The sequence below is a fragment of the Homo sapiens genome, chromosome 3 (genome assembly GCF_000001405.40).
Source record: "Homo sapiens chromosome 3, GRCh38.p14 Primary Assembly".
NCBI lineage: Eukaryota > Metazoa > Chordata > Mammalia > Primates > Hominidae > Homo > Homo sapiens.
The window spans coordinates 119,845,956-119,873,594 of record NC_000003.12 but is presented as its reverse complement, the minus strand read 5'-3'; the positions used below and the strand labels follow the sequence as shown (position 1 = coordinate 119,873,594).

General features: G+C 36.7%; 1 protein-coding gene across 4 annotated transcripts in view; it reads left to right on the top strand.

Moving 5' to 3' along the window:
- The window catches only part of GSK3B (glycogen synthase kinase 3 beta), a 273,127-nt gene that overhangs the window by 220,853 nt on the left and 24,635 nt on the right, over positions 1–27,639 (top strand). For 2 of the 4 annotated variants that reach the window (XM_006713610.4, NM_002093.4), the window contains exons 9-10: positions 6,967–7,005; positions 9,990–10,176. In XM_006713610.4, the coding sequence (XP_006713673.1) occupies positions 6,967–7,005; positions 9,990–10,176 (226 nt within the window). The remainder of the gene's footprint in view (positions 1–6,966; positions 7,006–9,989; positions 10,177–27,639) is intronic. The other 2 variants (NM_001354596.2, NM_001146156.2) reach the window with 1 other exon arrangement.

Here is a 27,639-nt window from a genome sequence, read left to right as displayed (position 1 = left end):
GCAACTTGAGAAATGCTCTTAGGGTAAGCAGCCAATTGAGTCATTTAAAAACCATATAGAATGTCCTCCAAAGAGAAGACCATTTTGCCCTTGGAGGGCAGGTAAACAGGAGTCTGGAAACAGGAACCACTTTACCTTTGTTGCTGTCTTCTGTTAGTCCTATCTCCTGAAGCTGTGGACATGTGAACCCTGGTTTCCTGTGCTGCAGTGTTGTGCAGCTATATCCCCAAGATTGGGACCTGGTGTTCTAAAAAAAAAAAAAGTAGACAGAAATAAAGACCAAAAGAGAAAATGTCTTTTGTGGAAACATTGAGGTAAGGGGATACAGGTGTGTAAAAGAAATAGCAGAAAAATAACACTGAGATGATCCCAGTGTGGTGTATGGCAGAAATCTTGAGAATTAAAAACTCCAATAAGTTGCCCTGGGCTATTACATAAATAGCAATAGCCAGTGCAACATAATTCATTAATAAAGCACTTGTGGCTTTAGTAGGAAAGGAAATAGGTGCTAATATTCTGAAACAAGGATTATTATTGGAGGTGAGGGGATGAAGACCTATGCCTTGGTGTACGCTGTACACTGCAAAGAAGAAAAACACATGGAAAGAAAAGGAAGTGATGCAATAGTAGATTGAGAATTAAGCAGAGACAGAGATTGGTTGGAAGAAGAGAAGAAATTTAAATTCTGCATTTAGTATGTGCAGGTGTGGTTAAATGATGGGCTATTATATACAGAGTGAGAATCTAGTTTAAACACTGCTCCTAATGTTTATGCCTCAGCTTTTTTCTTTTGTAAGATAGCGATTATCTGCTGTGTCTTTTCTCAGGATTATTTTGAAAATACAGCCATAATATACATATAAAGGATTACTTTAGTTTTGAATAAATGTGAAGGATGTAGCACTCCAATGGAGTTTTCTGATTTGTCTTCTCTGTCTCCACTGCCCTGACCTTAGTTTAGGCCACCATCATATCATAGAATTATTAAAAACAACCTCCTACCTCCTGATTTCCATCCTTTGGTTTCACATCATTTTAATCCATCCTCCTCATTTCTGTCAAAGTTGGCTTTTTTAAAAAGCACATGTGATGCTGTCACTCCTATTTAAAATTCTTCTCTGATTCCTCATAGCCTTTAGGAAAATTTAGCGTTAAATACATATAATGACAAGGGTGATCTTATGTGCCAGTTTTTGCTTGTCCAGTGTAATTATTAATTGCTTGCCTCTTCACTCTCAGGAAGGTCCCAATTTGGGTGGCAGATTATTTAGTCACTCTGTTCTTGATCTTTTCTGCCTTTCTTTTCCAGAAAAATAGAGTATTTAGTATTTGTCCTATTCCCAACCTTCTTGAGGTATCTAGTTCTTGAACCCAGGCTCTTTCCCAAGTTTTACAGCTTCCTGTATCCTTAAATGCATGTTGTTAGGCAATGAATTTGAAAGTTTAGTGTCTAGTTAGGGTTGATTAGGGATTTTTAATAAGGTTATATCATAGTAGGTGTATGAGGTGCCTTCCCGCCCACTTTCGAGTGCCTGATCCTGCTACCTTGTTTAAATTTCTTTATGACAAGCATTTCTCCTCTATCCTAGTAATAAACAATCCTGTGAGGTCAGTTAGGTAACACAGATGTCTGTTTTATTCTTTCAGAGTAACAAAAGAATAAAGTAATAACTGGTTAGTAGAAGGAAGTAGATTACAATCCTAAGGCCTGCTGATCTCTTAACAGTTACATTAGTGCTATTTAATATGTTGGCTACGTATTGGAGTGTTGTCCAGTTTGTAGCTCACTTTGAAGGGACCATGCAGCCATGCTGGATTTTCTGGTTTAGTCAGATTGTCTCCTAGTTGTTCCCCAGAGAAGCCACATTCATTTCTGCCTCTTGCTAGTGTCTCCCTTCCCTCTCTCTACTCCCCCTTCCACTGTCTTAGAATGTTCTTTTTTTCTTCTCTGCTTACCAACTCTTAACCTTTCTTAAGTTCTCAAATCTCACTTCTCCCATGAAATATTTTCTCATTGTCTAAGTTCTTTATGATTATCCTACCACATAACTCCTATAGTACCTACCAAATTATACCATATATATTATAGCAATTCCTCATTGCTTTTTTATAATAATAGTATTAATATGAATGCCAATTACTTCAAAATATTTGTTGCCAAGTTGTTGGCATATATGGTAGTTTAATACTTAATAGTAAAGTGTCTGTAGCTTTTGTATGACCATAGGTCATTTGGTAAGTCTCCCAGAAAGCATTATTCACAAAAATTAATCCTTGCATACTTGATTTCCTAAAACACTGTCAATATGCTTCATAGTGAATCAATACTAGTGTTTCTAACTGGCTAACAGAGTAAGCAGAAAATTGAATTCTCAGGTCATTTCAGCTTTCAAAGGAATTATTTTTGACTGAAAAAGTTACTTATTCTCTATGCTTACAGCTGAACCAAAAAGCCCCACTGTACTTATTTCTTTTTAAGACTTTGTCCATAATGCTACAGTTTTTCCCCTGAGCCATTCAATAGAATTTTCAGAACTTGGTAAACCTACCTGTTTTAACCGTTGTTCAATGTATTATTAAAATGCCTTCAGAGAGGCCTAGAGGGCACAAAACAAAAATTGCTGCCAAAGTTTTCTTTCACATCCATTCTATCTACCTTTTCTGGTCTCTCTGCATTACTCATTTCATTCACATGTATTCCAGAAAGCATAAAACCATGTTGGGGATTTCTATTGGCTCCTAAGCTTGCCACTTGTCTGTTTTGTTCTATTGCTTATGGTAAATCAATTTTTATATTATTATTCAACCCCCCTCTGCCCTGAACATTCTACCTAGACCATTCTCACTTGCCTCACAAATACATATAGTATGTTCTCTACTGAAAGTTCTACCCACATCCTTATTATTGCTATAATAATCACTTCCTCTCCCTTTCTAAAGCCACTTTCCTATGTTAGTAGACCTCACTTTTTTATTTCTACTGGCTATATATTTTTATTTGTTTGCTGGAAACCCACATTAAAATCCAGCTTTTAGGGTGGCTAATCCAAATGTGAAAGGAATAATGTGAAAAAGGAAGAATACTAAGTAAGACATAATTTTCAGATTGCTTGTGGGAGGCAAAGGATGAGGTTGGGGTGGATTTGAAAAGAAGACAAAATTCTATTTTTAATTTATCATTTATTCTTTAAATCTTGTATCTTCTATGTAACCAGTGCTGTGCTGGGTACCATAAAGCATGCAAAAGAAGTAAAATATATAGTCTTTGTCCTTGAAAAGCTGACAGTTGAAAAGCTTAGTTGAAGCAAGTATTGAATAATGTGAGATACTATGTAACCGTATACTTAATTCTGTGCTGTAAGTGTTCAGAGGTGTTCCACATGGCTGTAGGTGTTACAAGGCAGACTTCCAGTGAGGATGGTGGAGGGAAAAAGGAACCCCCACTTAGGGATAATACATGAGGTGGGATGTTGAAGGGGAGGTTTAAGATTTGCCTAGGTGTAGAAAAGGTTAGGAATTGTTATAGCCTGGGTGAATATCTCTCAAGGTGGAGAGAGCTGAATGAAAAGAAAATATTTCTATATTCATAGGAGAGCCAACCTGACTGTAATAATTGTTTTGTGAACAATGAAAGATTAAATTGGATAAGCGGACATTTGGCAAATCCCACTCCTGTGTAGGCATGTAGTACTATTTCATCAGCACATGATGTGAGGGAGAGAAATTATGTTACATAGTTAAATGCTGATATCTACATATATACAGCCAGTCATTTAACATCGTTAGTAGGTGCTTAGAAACTGCAACTTTAAGTGAAGTTATGCACAATAGGTCCTCAAATAATGTTGGTTCATTCAGCGTTGATGAGGGAAAACATTTGGTTTTATTATACGTTTCACTAAAAGTCACAGTTTTCAAGAACCTATCAATGACATTAAATGAAGATTTACTGTATAACTTTTCTTACCTATAGTAGAACTTGGGAAAACTCGATAAGGCTTTTAATTAGTACAGCTGAAATTCACTGGATGTTAGATTTGTCATGGCTAAGGAAAGGATTCTTTGTGTTTCTTATGCTCAACCTTCTTTACCTGAACTGGTATCTTAACGAAAAGGCTTAGAAAATTATGCAGTAGACTTGAGCTGAATTCAGTTTGTGTATCCTACCCTGTTAGATGCCAACTTCATAGATAGCAATTTTACTTGGGAGGAGGACTCTGAAAGTTGTTTTCAGTAGCCTCTGGTAATCATTTTTGATAGTACTTAAAGTGAATTGGATTACCTTGTATGTCAGTGCATCATTAGATCAATGTAGCAAAGCATGTGAAAGACTGCCAAAGAATATATGTTTTTTTTTTTTTTTTTTTTTTTGAGATGGAATCTTGATCTGTTGCCCAGGCTGGAGTGCAGTGGCACGACCTCGGCTCACTGCAGCCTCCACCTCCCGGGTTCAAGCAATTCTCCTGCCTCAGCCTCCCGAGTAGCTGGGATTACAGGCACCCACCACTACACCTGGCTAATTTTTGTATTTTTAGTAAAGATAGGGAGAATATTTTAAAAAATAGTATAGACTAATTTGTTAAGTAATTATTGAATTATGTGCTACATATGAGCACTTAAGTAGACTTGATTTCTTTCTTAGTTAACATAATTACCTATTCAACAATCCATGGCATTGTCTCACTTTTAATCCTATGTTTAGGTTTACAAATTGCATATAATTTCAGATGATTAATAGATTACTTGAGAGTCAATATTGGAGTTGCTCTTTAGGAGTATTCATGGTTTATTAGTTTTTAAAACTGGATGCTTATATTTTGTATATGACCAGGATATAGGATGAGTGTTGTACATTTATAGTAATAAAAACTAATGAGGAATAGCTATTTGGAACAGACATGGCTCTTGTTCTGTGTTCTGTTAGATTAATTATCACTGCCAACAGCCATTTAAAATGGACATTTTTACATTGCTCTGATTGGCTACATAATACAATAGAGTTGCTAAGAGCTGATGCTGTGAGATCCATGTTAACCATAGGTCTTAGTATGGTGTATGTGATTGTTTAAAAATGGCCTTTTTAAAGTGCTTGAGATTCAGTCACAACACTTAGCTCCAGGTTGAAATTTGAAGGACAAAGTCTATTCTAGGACATGTAGGGCAGAAATTGCCTCTGTCATTTTTTAGTTACCCAAATGCAAATTTATTTTGAATAATTCTTCATTTAAGGACTTCTTTGCATTTGTTCAATACTGCAGAAACTTTCTTTTTGAAAAAATGATTTTTTTCTGTTAGTTTCTTCTATGGGCTAGTATTTGTGATGGGAGTTGATATTTGTTTCAATTTAAGAAAATGAGTTGCTGCATAGGTGAGGTAGTATTTGAATCACTTTAAAAGTTCATGTCAGTGTTTTGGTTCTTTTCAGTATTTCCTTTCTCTTTTCTTTCTTTTTTCCTTCCTCTTTTTCTTTTCTTTCTTCTTCTTCTTATTTTTTGCTTTGTTTTATTTTGTTCTGTTTTATTTATTTACTTTTGGTTTTGTTTTTAAAGGGGTGTTTTGGGATCTCTGTGGCCTTGCTGCATACTTCGCTGGCCATATTTAGTCTGCGTACTAATTGTTAGTTGGCCCAGTTGAGTCTTATTTTGTGCTCTCAGTTCTTTCAGTCTGGTTTTCTATTTTTGTCCACCTGGTTGTGTTTTAGTTCATGAGAGAATTTATTCTGATGGGCCAGATTTTAATCTGTGTACTAAATTTTAGTCTGCAGACTAAAAGTAATCCGCGGATTATTTATTTTTGAAAAATATTTAATTCCCCCACTGGAAACTATCCTAAAAGAATGTTAAATTCTCTTAGAATAGCCAGGGGAGTTCACAGATACTGGTGAGTTCTGCCATTTTTTGTTCTCAATACCTAGACATAATAGACCCTGCTACCTCCCTTGCATATTTGGCTCCGTTGTGCCTAGGTGTTGGTATACATTACTATGCCTGTCACCTGTAACTGTGACTGTCCCTTAGTTGTATTGTTAATTTTATATATTTTGTTTAGCTTTTGGTGGGTGAATTGGGCATATTTGCAGATGGAACTGTGTTTAATTTGTAGTGCTGGAAGATGTAGGATTTATTTTTTCAGAGAGTTTTTCCAAAGAGGAAAAAATGTTCTCTATTTATTTTTCCTAAGTACCGGGTGCAAGGGTATGAGCGGGCAAAGCCCACAATAGAAAAAGTAAGTTAATACCCGCACTCCTGAGGTGATATGTCAATTTCCTGATGAGTCCTAAGATAATGAGAATGTCAGCAAAGAAACATCTTTTAGCAGAGAAGTCAATCCAAAATGGAGAATAATCCGCGGTGGCCTGATCCTTCTTAGCTCACACAAATTGAAAGTATCTGGCTTGAAATCTATAGTAATATAACTTAAATATATTTATTACTTTCCTCTCATCACTAATAACTTAGCAAAAAAATGTTTATACTGTGTAACTGGAACACATTAATAGAGAAAAAAGTAGCATATTGGGAACTTGAAACTTTAAAAGCAGGCTAATATGCCCCCTCCCAGCCATGTCTGTGGATGATGAATCCAGGTCATAGAAGACCATTTTACTTTGGGAACTTTACTTCTAGATTTCATTTTGATTTTAACTTTTTTTGGTTTTGTATTTTTTTAATAAACGCACTGGCATTGGAACATAATAAACTAAAATTAAAATGTTTCTTTACTGTGCCTCACCATTGCACAATCAAAAAAAATTTTTTTGCATACACTGTGGTGAAATAATTTTTAAAACTTGGACTTGCTACTGTGAAGACTGATGTTTAAAGTTTATAACTGTATAAACATTTTCTATGTCCCCCCCCACACCATGGATTTCTTATAACATTGGATATATTTTTCCTTGCTGGACTATTCTCTTTTGGATTGACTTCCCCTGTTTGGATTATTTCACTGCATTATCATCTTTAGGATTCGTCAGGAACAGGACATTTCACCTCAGGAGTGCGGGTATGTACTTAATTTTTTTTTCCCAAAATTTCAGGGCAGGTCTATAAAACTTGGGGGAAATCTTCTTTGAGAGGCTAAATAATTACTCATTCTTGAAATGTAATAGTAAACAATGTAAGTAGCTGTGATTTCTGTTTTTATTCACTGTATGGCATAGGTTTCACTTATAGTATATTTAGATTGTCAGCCTCTTGGGTGATTCATTGACATCTAGGCTGAAGTTTAGGAATTGTGGGGTTTTAAAATTATTATTTCTATTACAAGAATAAATATTGATGAAGATCCATGAAACCAAAGGTCTGAGTGTTAAGCAATTTCAGTGAGTAAGGAAAGAAGTGACAGCGGAAGCTTCTTTAATTAAAAGACAAATTTCAGTTCTTGGTGGTTTCCTTTTCTTTAGAAGCAAAAATAATTCAGATGAGCTAGTTTCTAGTTTGCCCTATAATTTTTAGAAGTTACATGCTAACTCACCCTGTATTATGGTCAGAAATCTGAACTGTGGGAGATACTGGGTTTTGACCCCACGTAATTTTCCACTTAACCTTTATTCACAGAGTACTGAACCTAGGCTTTTCTCATCAAGAATCTCTCAAGGGTTTAAAATGACAGTGTATAGTTTTTGTAAAGGCAGGTTAAATCTTGATTTTAATGTAGGCTTTTGACATGTATTATTTTCTTCATTGTTTTTAACTCTTGAACTTTATGAGTTAGGATTCCCTGACAAATATACGCTAATAAATGTCTTAGTACCGATATGGATGATCACTTGTAGGCAGTAAAACACCAAAAGATATGGGTGACTTAAAAAATTACTGGAAATAGGCCGGGCACGGTGGCTCACGCCTGTAATCCCAGCACTTTGGGAGGCCGAGGCGGGCGGATCATGAGGTCAGGAGATGGAGACCATCCTGGCTAACACGGTGAAACCCCATCTCTACTAAAAATACAAAAAATTAGCTGGGTGTGGTGGCGGGCGCCTGTAGTCCCAGCTACTCGGGAGGCTGAGGCAGGAGAATGGCATGAACCCGGGAGGCAGAGCTTGCAGTGAGCCAAGATCGGGCCACTGCATTCCAGCCTGGGTGACAGGAAGACTCCATCTCAAAAAAAAAAAAAAAAAAAAAAATATATATATATATATATATATATATATATATCGGAAATAAGCTTATAATACTGGTTTATTAATAGCTTTAACACAAAATCTTTGAAAATAAGAAATTTTTTTATTTAAAATAACTCAGCATCCAGCCATCCTACATTTGAATGTTAGTGGGAGATATTTATTTCTACTTTTGGTGCTACTTTTAATTCCACTTATGTGCTGCCATATTGGTGCAAAAACATTTTGGATTAGCTAGCAAAATAAATCCATATACTATCAAACAGAAGCAAACTTGCCTTCAGGGATAAAATATGCCAATACTGTTTAATATTTTTACGAAAATTTTCTGAGTTTTCCCACTGATTATTTTCTTTTTACATTCTGTATATGATTATGGACCTTGGGAGCAAGAGAGGGGACCAGTAACAGTGGAAGAGCTAAACATTTCAAATTCGACAGTAACTCTAAGGTTTCCTTGACTGAGGCGAGTCAGAGTATTCAAAAGAATAAAGATAAGGCAGGTTTTGACCTTACAAAAAGGTTTCTTTGTAACATAACCAAGAAATTGACTAAGGCCTTTCTTTATGTTCCGAAATAATTTCCTAAGAGCCTACTTTACCTAATTTCTCAATTTTCATGGAAAATGTCTTTTTCAATAATAAATTAAAAACAAATACAATCCTCTTTTCACTGTAGACAGCACTCATAAATAATCTCTGGAAAGTCTAATGAGCTCTGTAGTTGTAACTAGTTCTACTAACTGTCAGCATAAGTGAACAACCAAATGTTACATGAGCCATTCTTACGAGGAAACCTTAGCCTTCCAGGCTGCTCCATGCCCTGTCACAATCTGCGTGGGCTTTTCTCACTTGTGGGTCCGTTTCCCTCCATTTATAAGTGTCTACTTCTCTGCCCACCTCCATCGTCACACCTTTTATTTCGTTGTATGTTCTTCCTGTCGAGGGATATATGTTTCATTTTTCTTTAATTTCAAAGGCTTCTCGTCTGTTTATTTCTATCCTTACCTTTTTATTTTTATTCTGTAGGTGGCCATAATTTAGAATGAAGAATATTTTTATAGTTTTTGTATTTATTAGCTTTATTTAAGACACAAATTAGTAGAAAGCTATCTATTCCTTTAAGTAGATTAATTTAATTGAATTTTTCTTCAATATAGCCTTCAGTTGACTTTTTCTTTGTCTTAATCATTCTTAATGAATAATACATTTTTTTCTCCTTGATTAAAACCCTGGAATATTCATTCAAGTGGGGGAAATCTGGCCACATTCATGGTAACACCTACTTGAGAAAAAAAATGCAGGACATTTTATCAAATTCTAGGTATTCAAGAATTTCTTCAAATAATGGTAGGCTCTGTTTATTGGAAATAATACCAAATCAGTAGCATTTATAGACCTAGAGTAAATAGCTCTTCTTTCTCTTCTGTTTGATTGCCAAGTTTTCGAACAGTGCTGCTCATCATTAACAATTGTTCGGCTAAAAAAACAATGCAAAAGAGGCAATCTTTTATTTACTGCCATAGCAGTGAAAACTTTAAAATTTAAAAAATATTTTTCTAGTTGTGCTTGCCACCAGAACTCAGCCTTTCCCATGTGCCTGTCATATTTTGTATGCATGTCTGATTGTTATTACTTTATGATTAGCATATATAGATTTTTCTCTGAGCATTTCTCATATAATCTTTAATTAGCAATTCACCCCTGTGAATCATATGCATTTAACTCTTTCCATTCTAGAAGGTCCTTTCCCAAATGCAACCATGTTTCTGTACATGGTGGGAATTAAGTCATTATTCACAGGGTATTTGCTTAGATTCTTAAAATAAAACATTAATTGTTCTTTCCCTTTTTTTGTACTGCAGGTCTTCCGACCCCGAACTCCACCGGAGGCAATTGCACTGTGTAGCCGTCTGCTGGAGTATACACCAACTGCCCGACTAACACCACTGGAAGCTTGTGCACATTCATTTTTTGATGAATTACGGGACCCAAATGTCAAACTACCAAATGGGCGAGACACACCTGCACTCTTCAACTTCACCACTCAAGGTAACTCCAAACACTTAGCCTCTTCACCAGTTCTAGGAAAGCTACACCCTGGGTGTGAAATGACATTCTATTAATTAAAATCTGTGGAGGACAAAAACGGACATATTAAGTACTTAGGTAGGTGAAAAGAGCATCCTTTCTAACTTACTGGCCACTACTTACATGGTTTTGAACAGAAGAGTAGCACGTAAAAGTTTTCCAATAGACATAGCTTCTTTAATTTTTAGCAGAATATAATGTTGGCACATGAGAAGTTACAGAGAGTTCAGTGAGTGAAGTTTATCACTAATTGGACAAATGTACAATTTAACTTTTAGGTTTGGATCTGAAACAAAATAGTAGCATTTCTTGCTTCCAAAGAGTTTGTATCAAGTTTTTTTAAACCTGGAATGAATTGGCTATATTTGTGTAAATTCAGTTGTCTTCCAAACAGGAGGAAAAGTAGAGCCCTATAAACCCTTTCTAAGAACTTAAACAATAGACACAAGGAAATTTCCATCCCCTCTGAGACTGGCACCATTGCTGCTGCTGAGATAATACTGAAAGGGAAACGAACTTTGTGCATTGTGGTTTCTGGGAGACCTTGGGATAGTCACTATTTCTTCACTATTTCTGTGTTCAGTTTTCTTTTCTCCTTGATTAAGACCTAAGTGATTCATTCATTCAGTCACACCGCCTCTGCTGATGTGACTTTCTTATTACACTGAGCATAAAAAGTGTACAATTCATTACAAAAAAAAAAAAAAAAAAACAAGAAATAGTTGATATATTGATTAGTAAGCATACTCAGGCTAGAAAACAAAAAAGGGAGATGTAGAGTTTTATGTGACCAAGAAAGAAATATATTTCCTTTATTCATATGTATCATATCTTTCTTTTTTTTTTTTTTTTTTTATTATACTCTAAGTTTTAGGGTACATGTGCACATTGTGCAGGTTAGTTACATATGTATACATGTGCCATACTGGTGTGCTGCACCCACTAATGTGTCATCTAGCATTAGGTATATCTCCCAATGCTATCCCTCCCCCCTCCCCCGACCCCACCACAGTCCCCAGAGTGTGATATTCCCCTTCCTGTGTCCATGTGATCTCATTGTTCAATTCCCACCTATGAGTGAGAATATGCGGTGTTTGGTTTTTTGTTCTTGCGATAGTTTACTGAGAATGATGGTTTCCAATTTCATCCATGTCCCTACAAAGGATATGAACTCATCATTTTTTATGGCTGCATAGTATTCCATGGTGTATATGTGCCACATTTTCTTAATCCAGTCTATCATTGTTGGACATTTGGGTTGGTTCCAAGTTTCTTTTAAAAAAAAAAAAAGAAGACTTTTATTTTGGTATTTTAAAATCTTATGTTTGCCCAGCACATTAGATATAAATATGTGTGTCTTGAACATTTATGTTTTTGAGGGTTTGGAGAATGCATTTGTATTTGGATGTAATGTGTATAGATACAGTGTGTGGTCTCTGTGGTTATCAGAGTGCTTATGTGATTCTGTGAGTATCAGTGAAAAAGTGGACCCTGTAAACACAGTCATGTATTGCTTAATGATGCAGATATGTTCTGAGAAATGTATTATTAGGCAATTTTCATCCTTGTGCAGACGTTACAGAGTGTGCTTACGCATACTAAGTATATTATTGAAAGTGCTATCATTTTGAGGTATGGCCCCTTGTTAAAAAGTGTTCAAATGCTCTGTCTTAGCACCCATTCTGAAACTGGGCTGTGATCACAAAGTAGTACTTTCTCACGGTCTTTGTAAATCGCTATTGTTACTGTTTTTGAACAGTGTTTCTATGCAATAAAGACACAGATGTCCAGGGAAGAGGTGGGGTTTTTTTGTTGTTGTTTTTTGGTTTTTTTGTTTGTTTGTTTGTTTGTTTTGTTTTTTTTTTTTTTGAGACGGAGTCTCACTCTGTCACTCAGGCTGGAGTGCAGTGGCATGATACCGGCTCGCTGCAACCTCCACCTCCCAGATTCAAACAATTCTTGTGCCTCAGCCTCCTTAGTAGCTGGGATTACAGGCTCCTGCCACCATACCTGGCTAATTTTTGTATTTTCAGTAGAGACGGGGTTTCGCCATGTTGGCCAGGCTGGTTTTAAACTCCTGACCTCAGGTGATCTGCCTGCCTTGGCCTCCCAAAGTGCTGGGATTACAGGCATGAGCCACCATGCCTGGCCTTGATGATGCCATTCTATTTGATATGATACTCTGTATTCTAATTTTGGAGCAGTGTTTCCAAATGGTGATCTTGTTTTCTAAGGAAGCTGTAACTGTGTACAGATGCAGCTTTAAAGCACATACTAGTTAGTATGTGGATGACTAGTTAGTTAATGGATGACCAGAATAAAACTGGGTAATCCAAGGGGTTGAAGAAGGAGAATCAATTTTCCACTTGGTTGTATAGCTAAAGGAAATCTAGAGATAGAAACATTGTGGGTCTGGTGAAGGGTGAGGGGTATTAGTGAGGTTCTTCTAAAGGCAGCATAAAGCCCTCCTCCATCCTCATAACAAATTGTCAGTGACATCTGCAGCACTACTTCCCCCAAATAAAATAAAGTACATATAGTAGGTGCTCAGTGAATGTTTGAGTGCCGTGTACCACTTTAAGTAAACATAATATTCATTAATTCATACAACCAGTATTTATTGGGCATTTCTAATGTTCCCTCTGGTTGTTATTACTATTGTTGTTTTAATTAGTAAAGTAAACCTGCTATATGTACAGAACTATAAAGATTAAACACTTGAGTAAAATATAGTGTTTTATTAAGGTAAAGCTTACAATAAAGCTAACTGCATTTTGATGTTTGTTACTGTACCATGAGGTAATTAGCCATAAACAGTAATTAGTATTACTTTCATGTAATCACAGTATTTCCATATTCAGATAGAGGAAGGAGAGAGATGAACAGATATGAGATGGACAACTTTAAGATCTTTCTGATTGCCTAAATCCATAACTCAGGAGAATATCAGACCTCTCATTTTTCCAGCACTGAAGCTTCAGTGTTCCAGGACCCCATGACTGACAATATTATCTGCATTCAGATGTTGGAAATTGGAATAAACCTTTGGCACACCCCCTTCTTTCTATTTCTTCCTGTCATTAGAATTTCAAATTCAGCCATAGCTGAATCAGACCTTAGGAAACAGGTAGAATCAGGAAAGCCCAATAAGGATCAGTATTTTCTTATGAACTAATTTGTTGCCTATTCCAAGACTGGAATATATTAGGGAATCAATTGTTTTGTATGTTTAAAGGTGAGTCTCCCCCTAACTCTATCACACACATCCCCAATCTCAGTTTTTTACCTAATTTGTATGAAATTTTACCAATTGAAGTTATTTAGTAAACATTGTCCTCCTGAGAGTGTAGGGTAGGATGGGGGTGGTAAAGATATTATCCATTTACTTTAGTATGAGCTAATGTGAACATTCTATTCCTCTACCACTTGGCTAGATTATGTGAGAATGGTAGCTTTGTAGGGAGATAAGTAAGAGTGGCAGCATGTTGGCTAGGCCAGAAGAAGCAGTGATTTAGTAACTCTGGGGAACTGTTTAATTGAGAGTTGAAACAGGATATTTGGGGCAGCCAGTGAGCAATATGCAGACTCAGACAGACTGAATATTTTGGGGCGGGGGGTAAGAGTATCTGGACACGAGAAAAGCAGGTGATGAGATAGAAAAGGTGTTCCAGAAAGCAAGTAAAGAAAAGAACAGTAAAAGGAAGATTGAGATATAAAAAACAAAGGAAAATAAGGAAAGGGTTAGAAAATATTTTTTGAAAGAGTATAAGAATGTGTTACAGAATAGGAATTGATGAAAACATGGAATTGAAAATGAGTAGGAGATGGGCAACAAAAGCAAGTGTTCTAGAATCCAAGCTCATCAAAAGTTTGTATTTCTTTCATTTGAAAGCAGTAGGCTACTTATTTATAAAATCTATTGTAATTAATTATGATAACTAGCAGATTCCATATTTGTAACAATGATTTTTAAACTTATTTTCCTGTTATAAAATAACAATAGACATAAATAAGGTCAGTGCATCTATTTATCTGCCCATGTGCTAGGCATTTTCTTCTAAGTTGCCTTATCCTCAGACACATCTGAAGTGAATATAGTATTACAACTACCTGAGATTAATTAAAGTATGGACATACATTGTTTTATTGAGCTTCACTTTATTGCATTTCACAGGTAATGCTTTTTTTTTTTTTTATATACACAAATAAAACGTTCGTGTCAACTCTGTGTTGACTAAGCCTGTTTTTCCAACAGGCTATGCTTACTTTGGTGCCATTTTTCCAACAGCTTATGTTTATTTTGTGTCTCTGTGCCACATTTGGTAATTCTTGCAATATTTAGAGCTTTTTCATTGTTATTACATCCATTATGGTGATCTGTGATCAGTAATTTTTTTGATGTTACTATTGTGATTGTTTTGGAAGTTTGTATTGAACTAATTGATCAATGTGTGTGTCCCAACTGCTCCACCAATCAGCCAATCCCCATCTCTCTCCCTCTTCTTGGATCTTCCTATTCCCTGAGACACAACAATATTGAAATTAGGCCATTTAATAACCCTACAAGAGCCTCTAAGTGTTCAAGTGAAAGGCAGAGTCACACATACTCTCCCTTTAAATCAAAAGTTAGAATGATTGAGCTTAGTGAGGAAAGTGTGTCAACAGCTGAGATAGGCCAAAAGCTAGGCCCATTGTGCTAAACAGTTTGCCAAGTTGTGAATGCAAAGAAAAAGTTGTCAAAGGAAATTTAAAGTGCTACTCCAGTGAACACACAAAGAAGTAAATAGAGATCAAAACAGCCACAGTATTTTCTTAAGGCAAAGCCTAATCCAGAGCAAGGCCCTAATGTCACTCAGTTCTGTAAGGGCTGAGAGAGGTGAGGAAGCTACAAGGAAAAGTTTGTAGCTAGCAGAGGTTGGTTCATGAGGCTTAAGGAAGGAAGCCATTTCCATACCATTCAAGTGCAAGGTGAAGCAGCAAGTGCTGATATAGAAGCTGCAGCAAATTATCCAGAAGACCTCTAGCTAAGATCATTGGTGAACATAGCTACACTAACCAACAGATTTTCAGTGGAGACAGAACAGCCTTCTATTGGAAGAAGATGCCATCTAGAATCTTCTTAGCTAGAGAGGAGAAGTCGATGGCCTGGCTTCAAAGCTTCAAAGGATAGGTTGACTCATTTGTTATGGGCTAAGACAGCTGGTGATTTTAAGTGGATGCCAGTGCTGCTTTACCGTTCCAAAAATCCTAGGGCCCTTAAGAATTATGCTAAGTCTACTCTTCTTGTGCTCTATAAATGGAACAAAAAAGTCTGCATGACAGCACATCTGTTTACAGCGTGGTTTACTGAATATTTGAAGCCCACTGTTGAGACCTACTGCTCAGGAAAAAAAGATTCTTTCAAAATGTTACTGCTTAATGACAATGTATCTAGTCATCCAAGAGCTCTGATGGAGAGGTACAAGGAGATGAATGTTGTTTTCATGCCTACTGACACAGCATCCATTTCTGCAGCCCATGGATCAAGGAATGATTTCTACTTTTATGTCCTGTTATTTAAGAAATGCATTTCATAAGGCTGTAACTGCCATTACATAGTGATTCCTTTGATGGATCTGGGAAAAGTAAACTGAAAACCTTCTGGAAAGGATTCACCATTCTAGATGTCATTCGGAACATTTGTGATTTGTGAAAGAGGTCCAAATATCAACATTAACAAGATTTTGGAAGAAGTTAATCCCAAGCCTCATGGATAACTCTGAGGGGCTCAAGACTTCAGTGGAGGAAGTCACTGCAGATGTGGTGAAAATAGTAAGAGAACTAGAATTAAAAGTGAAACCTGAAAAGTGACTGATTTGCTGCAGTCTTTATGATAAAACATGAATGAATGAGGAGTTACTTCTTATGGATGAGCAAAAAAAGTGGTTTCTTGAGAAGGAATCTGCTTCTGGTGAAGCTGCTATGTTGAGATGACAACAGAGGATTTAGAATATTCCATAATCTTAGTTGAAAGCGGTGACAGGGTTTGAGAGGGTTGACTCCAATTTTGAAAGAAATTCTACCAGGGTAAAATGCTATCAAACAGCCTTAAATGCTACAGAGAAATCTTTTGTGAAAGGAAGAGTCAGGCATTGTGACAAACTTCATGGTTGTTTTGTTTTAAGAAATTGCCATAGCCACCCTAACCTTCAGCAACCAATATCCTGGTCAATCAGCAGCCATCGACATAAAGGTATAAGACCCTCCACCCACAAAAGATGACTCGCAGAAGGCTCAGGTGATCTTTAGGATTTTTTAGTGATAAAGTATTTTTAAATTAAGGTATATATGTGGTTTTTTTTAGATGTAATGCTTATTGCCCACTTAATAGACGATAGTGTAGGGTAAACTCATCACTTACATGCAGTGGAAAACCAAAACATTTGCGTGACTCACTTTATTGTAGTGGTCTAAAACTGAATCTGTAGTATCTCCGAGGTATTCCTGTATCTTCTAAGGTTATTCTCAAATTACTATGAACTCTGAGGTGAGTCATAATGGTTTTTAGACTTATTATTTACAATAGCCATGATAAATTTACATAGGATAGGAACTCTTGATGTGTGTAGGACACATCAATAGAATTGATGTCAGAATTATTCTTCAGTACTTTCTAAGTAATCTAGAAGAGTAAAATTTCTATGTAATCAGGTATACTCTTCTGGGCAATGAAATGCTAGGTAGGCCAGTGGAGACACACCACAGGGAGAACTTGAGAAAATTTATGAGTGGACTAAAAGGGGGCAGGTAAGATTTAGTTCAGGTAACTACAGCAGTAATGACAAATAATGAGTGACTGTATTCAAGATTTTAGGCTCTAAATTATCTATTTTATATAAGAATTTTTATTGTTTTGCCTGAGATTATTTGGTCCACCCTGCTACTTTGGATGTACTCTACTGGGGAAAATGTAGAGTGGTGTAGGAACAAACAATCAAACACTAGTATCTTGAATGAAAGTTCTGTGTGTAGTTTGGACAGATATACTTACAGAAGACCAGAACACTGGTGGTATATGATATATAACCAAGACAGTAAAGAAATGCAACATTGCAGGAGCAAAGAGTAAGTCAGACCTAAAGCCTAGTTCCCTTTAACTACACAGGTGTAGACCTTGGTCAACACACTATCCCTACCTGAGTTTCCCCATATAAATAAATGAGATTGTTGGATTAAAGGATATTCAAGGACATATGCATCTTCAAAATTTTAATTATAAAAATGAATTGACTCCAGAAAGATAAAGAAAAAATGACAAAGCTAAAAATGTAGACCACAATAGGATTGAGATACAAAATCATGATATAAATAAACATAGAAAAATGTAGACTGGTTCTCCCAGAATCAAAATATTAGCAGTATTATTATACTTTAAGTTCTAGGGTACATGTGCACAACGTGCAGGTTTGTTACATGTGTATACATGTGCCATGTTGGTGTGTTGCACCCATTAACTCGTCATTTACATTAGGTATTTCTCCTACTGCTACCCCTCCCCCTCCCCCCACCGCACGACAGGCCCCGGTGTGTGATGTTCCCCACCCTGTGTCCAAGTGTTCTCATTGGTCAATTCCCATCTGTGAGTGAGAACATGCAGTGTTTGGTTTTCTGTCCTTGCGATAGTTTGCTCAGAATGATAGTTTCCAGCTTCATCCATGTCCCTACAGAGGACATGAACTCATCCTTTTTTATGGCTGCATAGTATTCCATCGTGTATATGTGCCACATTTTCTTAATCCAGTCTATCATTGATGGACATTTGGGTTGGTTCCAAGTCTTCGCTATTGTGAATAGTGCCGCAATAAACTTACATGTGCATGTGTCTTTATAGCAGCATGATTTGTAATCCTTTGGGTATACACCCAGTAATGGGATGGCTGGGTCAAATGGTATTTCTAGTTCTAGATCCTTGAGGAATCGCCACACTGTCTTCCACAATGGTTGAACTAGTTTACAGTCCCACCAACAGTGTAAAAGTGTTCCTATTTTTCCACATCCTCTCCAGCACCTGTTGTTTCCTGACTTTTTAATGATCACCATTCTAACTGGTGTGAGATGGTATCTCCTTGTGGTTTTGATTTGCATTTCTCTGGTGGCCAGTGATGATGAGCATTTTTTCATGTGTCTGTTGGCTGCATAAATGTCTTCCTTATGACTACTGGATACATAACAAAATGAAGGCAGAAATAAAGATGTTCTTTGAAACCAATGAGAACAAAGACACAACATACCAGAATCTCTGGGACACATTTAAAGCAGCATATAGAGGAAAATTTATAGCACTAAATGCCCACAAGAGAAAGAAGGAAAGATCTAAAATTGACACCCTAACATCACAATTAAAAGAACTAGAGAAGCAAGAGCAAACACGTTCAAAAGATAGCAGAAGGCAAGAAATAACTAAGGTCAGAGCAGAACTGAAGGAGATAGAGACGCAAAAAACCCTTCAAAAAGTCAGTGAATCCAGGAGCTGGTTTTTTGAAAAGATCAACAAAATTGATAGACCGCCAGCAAGGCTAATAAAGAAGAAAAGAGAGAAGAATCGAATAGACGCAATAAAAAATGATAAAGGGGGTATCACCACCGATCCCACAGAAATACAAACTGCCATCAGAGAATACTATGAACACTTCTACGCAAATAAACTAGAAAATCTAGAAGAAATGGATAAATTCCTGGAAACATACACCCTCCCAAGACTAAACCAGGAAGAAGTTGAATCCCTGAATAGACCAATAACAGGCTCTGAAGTTGAGGCAATAATTAATAGCCTCCCAACCAAAAAAAGTCCAGGACCAGACAGATTCACAGCCAAAATCTACCAGAGGTACACAGAGGAGCTGGTACCATTCCTTCTGAAACTATTCCAGTCAATAGAAAAAGAGGGAATTCTCCCTAACTCATTTTATGAGGCCAGCATCATCCTGATACCAAAGCCTGGCAGAGACACAACAAAAAAAGAGAATTTTAGACCAATATCCCTGATGAATATGGATGCAAAAATCTTCAATAAAATACTGGCAAACTGAATCCAGTAGCACATCAAAAAGCTTATCCACCACAATCAGGTGGGCTTCATCCCTGGGATGCAAAGCTGGTTCATCATACGCAAATCAATAAACATAATCCATCATATAAACAAAACCAAAGACAAAAACCACGTGATTATCTCAATAGATGCAGAAAAAGCCTTTGACAAAATTCAACAGACCTTCATGCTAAAAACTCTCAATAAACTAGGTATTGATGGGACGTATCTGAAATTAATAACATGTTTATGACAAACCCACAGCCAATATCATACTGAATGGGCAAAAACTGGAAGCATTCCTCTTTGAAAACTGGCACAAGACAGGGGTTCCCTTTCTCACCAGTCCTATTCAACATAGCGTTGGAAGTTCTGGCCAGGGTAATCAGGCAGGAGAAAGAAATAAAGGAAAAGAATTAGGAAAACAGGGGGTCAAAATGTCCCTGTTTGCAGATGAGATGATTGTATATTTAGTAAACCCCATCGTCTCAGCCCAAAATCTCCTTAAGCTGATAAGCAATTTCAGCAAAGTCTCAGGATACAAAATCAATGTCAAAAATCACAAGCATTCTTATACACCAATAACAGACAAACAGAGAGCCAAATGATGAGTGAACTCCCATTCACAATTGCTTCAAAGAGAATAAAATACCTGGGAATCCAACTTACAAGGGACGTGAAGGACCTCGTCAAGGAGAACTACAAACCACTGCTCAACGAAATAAAAGAGGACACAAACAAATGAAAGAACATTCCATGCTCATGGATAGGAGGAATCAATGTCGTGAAAATGGCCCTACTGCCCAAGGTAATTTATAGATTCAGTGCCATCCTCATCAAGCTACCAATGACTTTCTTCACAGAAATGGAAAGAACTACTTTAAAGTTCATATGGAACCAAAAAAGAGCCCGTATAGCCAAGACAATCTTAAGCAAAAAGAACAAAGCTGGAGGCAGCACGACTTGACTTCGAACTATACTACAAGGCTACAGTAACCAAAACAGCATGGTACTGGTACCAAAACAGAGATATAGACCAATGGAACAGAACAGAGCCCTCAGAAATAATATCACAATCTACAACCATCTGATCTTTGACAAACCTGACAAAAACAAGAAATGGGGAAAGGATTCCCTATGTGATAAATGGTGCCGGGAAAACTGGCTAGCCATATGTAGAAAGCTGAAGCTGGATCCCTTCCTTACACCTGATACAAAAATTAATTCAAGATGGATTAAAGACTTAAATGTTAGACCGAAAACCATGAAAACCCTAGAAGGAAACCTAGGCAATACCATTCAGGACATAGGCATGGGCAAGGACTTCATGACTAAAACACCAAAAGCAATGGCAACAAAAGCCAAAATAGACAAATGGGATCTAATTAAGCTAAAGAGCTTCTGCACAGGAAAAGAAGCTACCATCAGAGTGAACAGGCAACCTACAGAATGGGAGAAAATTTTTGCAATCTACCCATCTGACAAAGGGCTAATATCCAGAATCTACAAAGAACTTAAACAAATTTACAAGAAAAAATCAACCCCATCAAAAAGTGGGTGAAGAGCAGTATTATTTTTAAATGCCCAATAAGTTTATTTTTTAAATTGGATTTGAAAAACTTGGTAATGCCTCATTTATTGCATTTCATTAAGAATAGAGTTCTGGGCTGGGTGCAGTGGCTTACACTTCTAATCCCAGAACTTTGGGAGGCGGGGGTGAGCAGATCACATGAGGTAAAGAGTTCGAGACCAGCCTGGCCAACATGGCGAAAACCCGTCTCTACTAAAAATACAAAAATTAGCCAGGCGTGGTGGTGGGTGCCTGTAATCCCACTACTCAGGAGGCTGAGGCAGGAGAATCGCCTGAACCCAGGAGGCAGAGGTCACGGTGAGCTGAGATCACACCACTGCACTCCAGCCTAGGCAGCAGAGCGAGACTCTGTCTTTAAAAAAAAAAAAATAGAGTTCTGAATATAAGATTTTCAAGTACATCACTAGAACTTTAAAAATATTAACACTTTGCTAGATAACTTCTAAAAACACCTGTACTATAATGTAGTTCAATAAAAGCATTCAGACATTTTTTGGTGAGTGGTATAAATTGGAAGGATCCCAAAGTCATCATGGCTTTCAGCAAATATCATATTATATAGTCCTCACATGAAACATCACCAGTATTACCAAAACAGTATCAGTAAGCCTTGTAATTTGCTTACTATTTGTCTGATTTTCTAATTAGTTTAGCATTAGGAACATGGTCAGGAATTTCCTGGGCACTTTGGAATTGTTACCAAGGAGAGAAGCAGTTATGATGTGGTTTATTCATTCATCTACAAGGAAATATATACAAGTAAGTAAGCACCATTAGAATTCAGAAATGTGTGAGAGCAAGGGACATCATCTTAGCATTTGAATTATTGCCTAAAAAAATACACAAATGTAATGGGGGCACTCCATTATTAAGTCATTTAAACCTTTTTGTGAATAGAGAGAAATAGCACTTTTAACTGTATAGACAACCACTGACAATTATTATATGTAATAAGAGGCCTGGTACACACATGAGGAGGTCAGACTTCTTGTAGAAGAAAAAGAATGTCTGCTTATTTTAGTAACTCCTTTTTGGAGATCTGCAGGGTGAGCTCCTTCAAAGCTAGTAGAGGAGGAAGATTCCCTTTTATATAATGACTGCTAAGTATTTTATTACATCACTGTAAGAGGAGATCTAGTCAGTAGAGGGGTTGATTTTCTTCCCTCTGATTCACACATTGATTGCTGCTCTCAAATTTGTCCTCATCTTTCACACAACAGTTTGTACAAACACGTTACCACTAGCACCTACCTGCCCCCTCAGAAAACTAGGAAAGTTCTTACCTGTCCCATTTTATCAATGAATTTGGGGATCTTGTACTTGGAAGAATAGAAACTTTTAAGGCAAATTTCAGATTTTACCAACTAGATGTAGGTTTCATTTTTCCATTGGAAAAGACTGCTTTATCAGGCATATTTGAGTTTATTGAGTTTGTCTTTTCATGGGAATTTTTCTTCTGTGTTTTGCAGTATAAAACAATGCAGCAAAATTTAGTTAAATGGATTTTGTTAACTTTTTGGTTGATTCATATCTATATTTAAACTCATTTTGCTTTTGTTTAAATTGTGCATTAAAATGTTTAATTATGGAACACATAATTATTGATGCACCATCAAAACATTTGTAGTTTTCCCTAATAAACTACGTGGCTTTTTAATGAATAGTTTTCATGACTTCTTCAGTTGGCTGAAGAAATTTTTATCACATTAATTTTTCTAAAGTTTTCTGGAATTTCTTGCCGTTTTGTTTTAAACCATGTCTCTAGGTAACACAGTCTATCTTTTATCCTTCCTATTTTTCATTTTCCTCTCACTTCTCCAGAGCTGTCCCACTTCATTATGGACCTTTTTGTTCTTATCCCCCTACTCTCAAGCTTAGCACACATATCTAGTAAATAAATATTACCTTACATTTCAATTTCAGTCTCTTCAACACTCCTCTGCCTTCAAGAATACATACACTGTGTCTGATGCTAACAGGTGCTGTTACTTTGCTGTTTCTATCCTCCAAAATACCACCATTTTTTCTATTCTTTCACTGCAGTTTATATTCACCCTCACTGACTCCATTTCCTTATCACTCATTGCCATGGGTAGACAAAGTGATTAGAAGTAGGTAGTAATGGTTGGGATTAAAAAAAAACATTTTGAACTGGTTGACATAGCCCTATAGAAATGCCCATAGTCTGTCCCCATAAAAAGTGTGGACTTACAGTGGCAAGAATAGGACTATAGCAAGAGTGCAAGGAGGCTTCCTCACAGGGAAAAGTTGTAAGTAACAGTTAACAACCTCTTTGAAGTAGAGAAGACTGAACAGATGAAAGCAATGGATTTTAAGGATTGCCTGTAATTAAGGAAGAGAAGAAGAACAATGGGGTGTAGAAGTTGGAAGGATGTAGAAGTAGTAGTGATTGTTCATTTTAGAATTCTTAACTTTTAGGTTCTTGCTAGAAAAAGGTTCACAAAGTACCCCCCTTCACATCTTGGACCCCACCCTCACCCGCACTCCGTGTCTTTGGGTGTGGCAAAGCCTCCGAGATCCCAAATCTTTTCTATTTCTTGTCTTCTTAATTTCTTCACTTTTTTTCCCCTTACCCTTCATTAGTTACCCCTCTCTCCTTATCTAAGGCCAAAATGACAGTCTTTTTACATACATACATACATACATACATCTATAGATTTACATTACATACATCTATAGATTTACATCTATAAAACTATTTACATAGTATTTACATTGTATTCGGTATTATAAGTAATCTAGAGATGATTTAAAGTATATGAGAGGCTCATGCACGAGAATCGCGTGAACCCAGGAGGCAGAGGTTGCAGTGAGCCAAGATCACATCATTGTACTCCAGCCTGGGCAACAGAGTGAGACTGTCTCAAAAAATAAAATAAAAAATAAAAAAATAAAGTATATGAGAGGCTCTGTGTAGGTTACCTGTAAATACTATGCCATTTTATGCAAGGGACTTAAGCATCTTTGGATTTGGGTATCTGAGGAGGGTCTTGGAACAAATCCCCCAGGATACCAAGGGATAGCTGACTATACATTACATATTCTTGTCCAGACTAAGACACAAAACTGCTGTGGCCTTCAACTGGCATTCAGATACACAGAAGGATAGGTGATGTGGTAAAAGAGAGTAAATATATGGGAGAAAATGGACAGCATGGGCCATAAGGAGAGGGACCACAGACCACTGATACTCAGTTTATTTTAAAGATTATTTTTAACAGCTTTGTCAAAATGTCTTATTAAAAACTCCGGTCCTCTTTTCATTTTTAGGTTTATTTTAGGTATCGAGCACATGGTTATTGAGATGTTTTCATTTGACAGTGCCCCTGTCCTAAGTGGTTGCCTTTCTTGCCAGATTGTTTTTTCAGTTGTTCTTGTCAATTTCTGTTGATCAGACAAAGGACAGTTGTCTTTTTATCTCCCTATCCTGGGACCTTACACATTTCATGTTCAATATTGTTGGATGGATATGTGGGTGGGTTGATGGATGGTTGGATTTTAAAGAAGCCTTTCTATTTTAGATGCTTTTAATTGAGAATGGTAAATCTGAATTTCTTTAGAATAAAAACCACATATTAATGCTTTTTTTTGTACCTGGAGCCATAAAGTTTTCAGCCATCACAATTGCTAGCAATTATTTTGCTTTCCTGCATATAAGATTATGGGTTAAAATTGAACTGACTTGAAGTAAAATGGCATAGGAGCTTTCTGTTCCTTAGTGAGAACCCAGATAGCTACCAAGTCTGATTGTGAGAAAACAGTATCTCCTAGAACCTGATAATTAGGGCAGTATCTTCAACTGTCTTCCCAGGCAAGACTATTTGATGAGCTGGACTAAATTTTCTCATTTAGGGGAAAGGAAAATGAATAGTTTTCTCAGTTTTAAGCTTTTCCTTTCATTCATTTTTAATAAATCTTAGCATCAATTTATTGCTTTTCTTTACCACAATCTGATATCATTTAGTATGTAATTTAGTACAAAATTTAGATGTTTAGGTACTGATTTGAATAAATATTATTGGCAGGGGCTTTGCACCAGAAAACATTTTAAAACTACTACATTAAAAGTACAATTTCCCTTGCTAGGGTCTTAGGGGAAGGGATTAATGTAGAGTGACTGCTTGCGAGTTTGGTGTTTCCCTTTGGGGTGATGAAAATGTTTTGGAACTAGAGGAGATGGTTATAAACCTTGCGAATGTACTAGATGCTGAATTGTGCTGAATTGTACACTTTTAAATGGTTTATGTTAACATAAATTATACCTTAATTTAAAAAAAAAAGCTTTTCTTGAACTTTTTAAAATTCATGCTGTATCTGTGAATTGCCAAAGTGTGTGCTGTAGCTCAGAGGATAATGTCCTCCTGTAGCTTGTTATGGTTATGATTGTTCCTTCAAACTGTGACACATATTAGAGTGAAAATTAGTACTTACAGGCTAAATACTTAAGTAACAAGCATAAACCAGGGTTATCCCAGGTAACTGGGAGAACAGTCACATTACCTAAAACTAACAAAAAATGCTTTTGTGTACAAGCTCGCTACCACTACTTGCTACAGAACTTGATTCTTCAAAGAAGTAAGTACAGTTGACAGAGACAGCTTCCCCCATGCAGATAAAAAGCCTATTTCAAACTTGTAAAAAGTAACAAAAATAATCTTACTGAGTAAAGAATTGGATAAAGACATTTTCAGTTTTAATAAAAGCAGTGACACTTTAAACAGATGTTTCTCAAATCCTTTTTCCACTAGTGTCTAGATAAGTCTTATCTGCCATTGGCTCATAAACAGTTGGATAGGTTGGTCAGTACATCCAGTTGTACATACATACACATACAGACACACATTCTCATTCATATTCTCTTTGCTATGACACCACCACCTTTTAAAAACATAAAGAATATGTTTGTACAGTATTTCCTGTAGTCAAATATTGACATAGTAGGACAGGAAAACCTAATATATTTAAATCAATGAAAGATGCAGATATGTCTTATTAATATACCTACTCCAAAACTTTGGCCACATCTTTCCCCGAGATATTTTTAGTTCTCAGACATAATTTTAGTAGATAATGCCTTTGTTATATATCACAGTACTTCTGTGGGCTTTTTCTGTAAGTTGATTACTAACTCAGTTAGCTAGTTTGAGATATAGGTTTGTCATGTGGGTTTTTTTTTCCCCTGTTAAACTGGTAGGGTTTGTTTTGTTTTGTTTTGTTTTTGAGACGGAGTTTCGCTCTTGTCGCCCAGGCTGAAGTGCAATGGCACGGTCTTGGCTCACTGCAACCTCTGCCTTGCGGGTTCAAGCAATTCTCCTGCCTCAGCCTCCCAAGTACCTGGGATCACAGGTGTGTGCCACCACGCCAGGCTAATTTTTGTATTTTTTTTTAAACTTATTCTTTTTTTATGATTATTATTATACTTTAAGTTCTGGGATACATGTGGAGAAGGTGCAGGTTTGTTACATAGGTATACATGTGCCATAGTGGTTTGCTGCACCCATCAATCCATCATCTACATTAGGTATTTCTCCTAATGCTATCCCTCCCCCTTCCCCCCTACCCCGCAACAGGCCCTGGTATGTGATGTTCCCCTCCCTGTGCCCATATGTTCTCATTGTTCAACTCCCACTTACGAGTGAGAACATGCCATGTTTGGTTTTCTGTTCCTGTGTTAGTTTGCTGAGAATGATGGTTTCCAGCTTCATCCATGTCCCTGCAAAAGACATGAACTCATTCTTTTTTTATGGCTGCATAATATTCTGTGATGTATATGGGCCACATTTTCTTTATCCAGTCTATCATTGGTGGGCATTTGGGTTGGTTCCAAGTCTTTGCTATTGTGAATAGTACTGCAATAAATATATGTATGCATGTGTCTTTATAGTAGAATGATTTATAATCCTTTGGGTATATACCCAGTAATGGGATGGCTGGGTCAAATGGTATTTCAAATTCTAGATCCTTGAGGAATTGCCACACTATCTTCCACAATTGAACTAATTTACACTCCCACCAACAGTGTAAAAGCATTCTTGTTTCTCCACATCCTCTCCAGCATCTGTTGTTTCTTGACTTTTTAATGATCACCATTCTAACTAGTGTGAGATGGTATCTCATTGTGGTTTTGATTTGCATTTCTCTAATAATCAGCGATGATGAGCTTTTTTTCATATGTTTGTTGGCCACATAAATATCTTCTTTTGAAAAATGTCTGTTCATATCTTTCGCCCACTTTTTGATGGGATTGTTTGTTTTTTTCTTGTAAATTTGTTTAAGTTCCTTGTAGATTCTGGATATTAGCCCTTTGTCAGATGGATGGCAAAAATTTTTCTTATTCTGTAGGTTGCCTGTTCTGATGATAGTTTCTTTTGCTGTGCAGAAGCTCTTTAGTTTAATTTGACCATTTGTCAATTTTGGCTTTTGTTGCCATTGCTTTTGGTGTTTTAGTCATGAATTCTTTGCCCATGCCTATATCCTGAATGATATTGCCTAGGTTTCCTTCTAGGGTTTTTATGGTTTTAGGTCTTACGTTTAAGTCTCTAATCCATCTTGAGTTAATTTTTGTATAAGGTATAAGGAAGGGGTCCAGTTTCAGTCTTCTGCATATGCCTAGCTAGTTTTCCCAACACCATTTATTAAATAGGGAATCCTTTCCCCATTGCTTGTTTTTGATAGGTTTGTCAAAGATCAGATGGTTGTAGATGTGTGGTGGTATTTCTGAGGGCTCTGTTCTGTTCCATTGGTC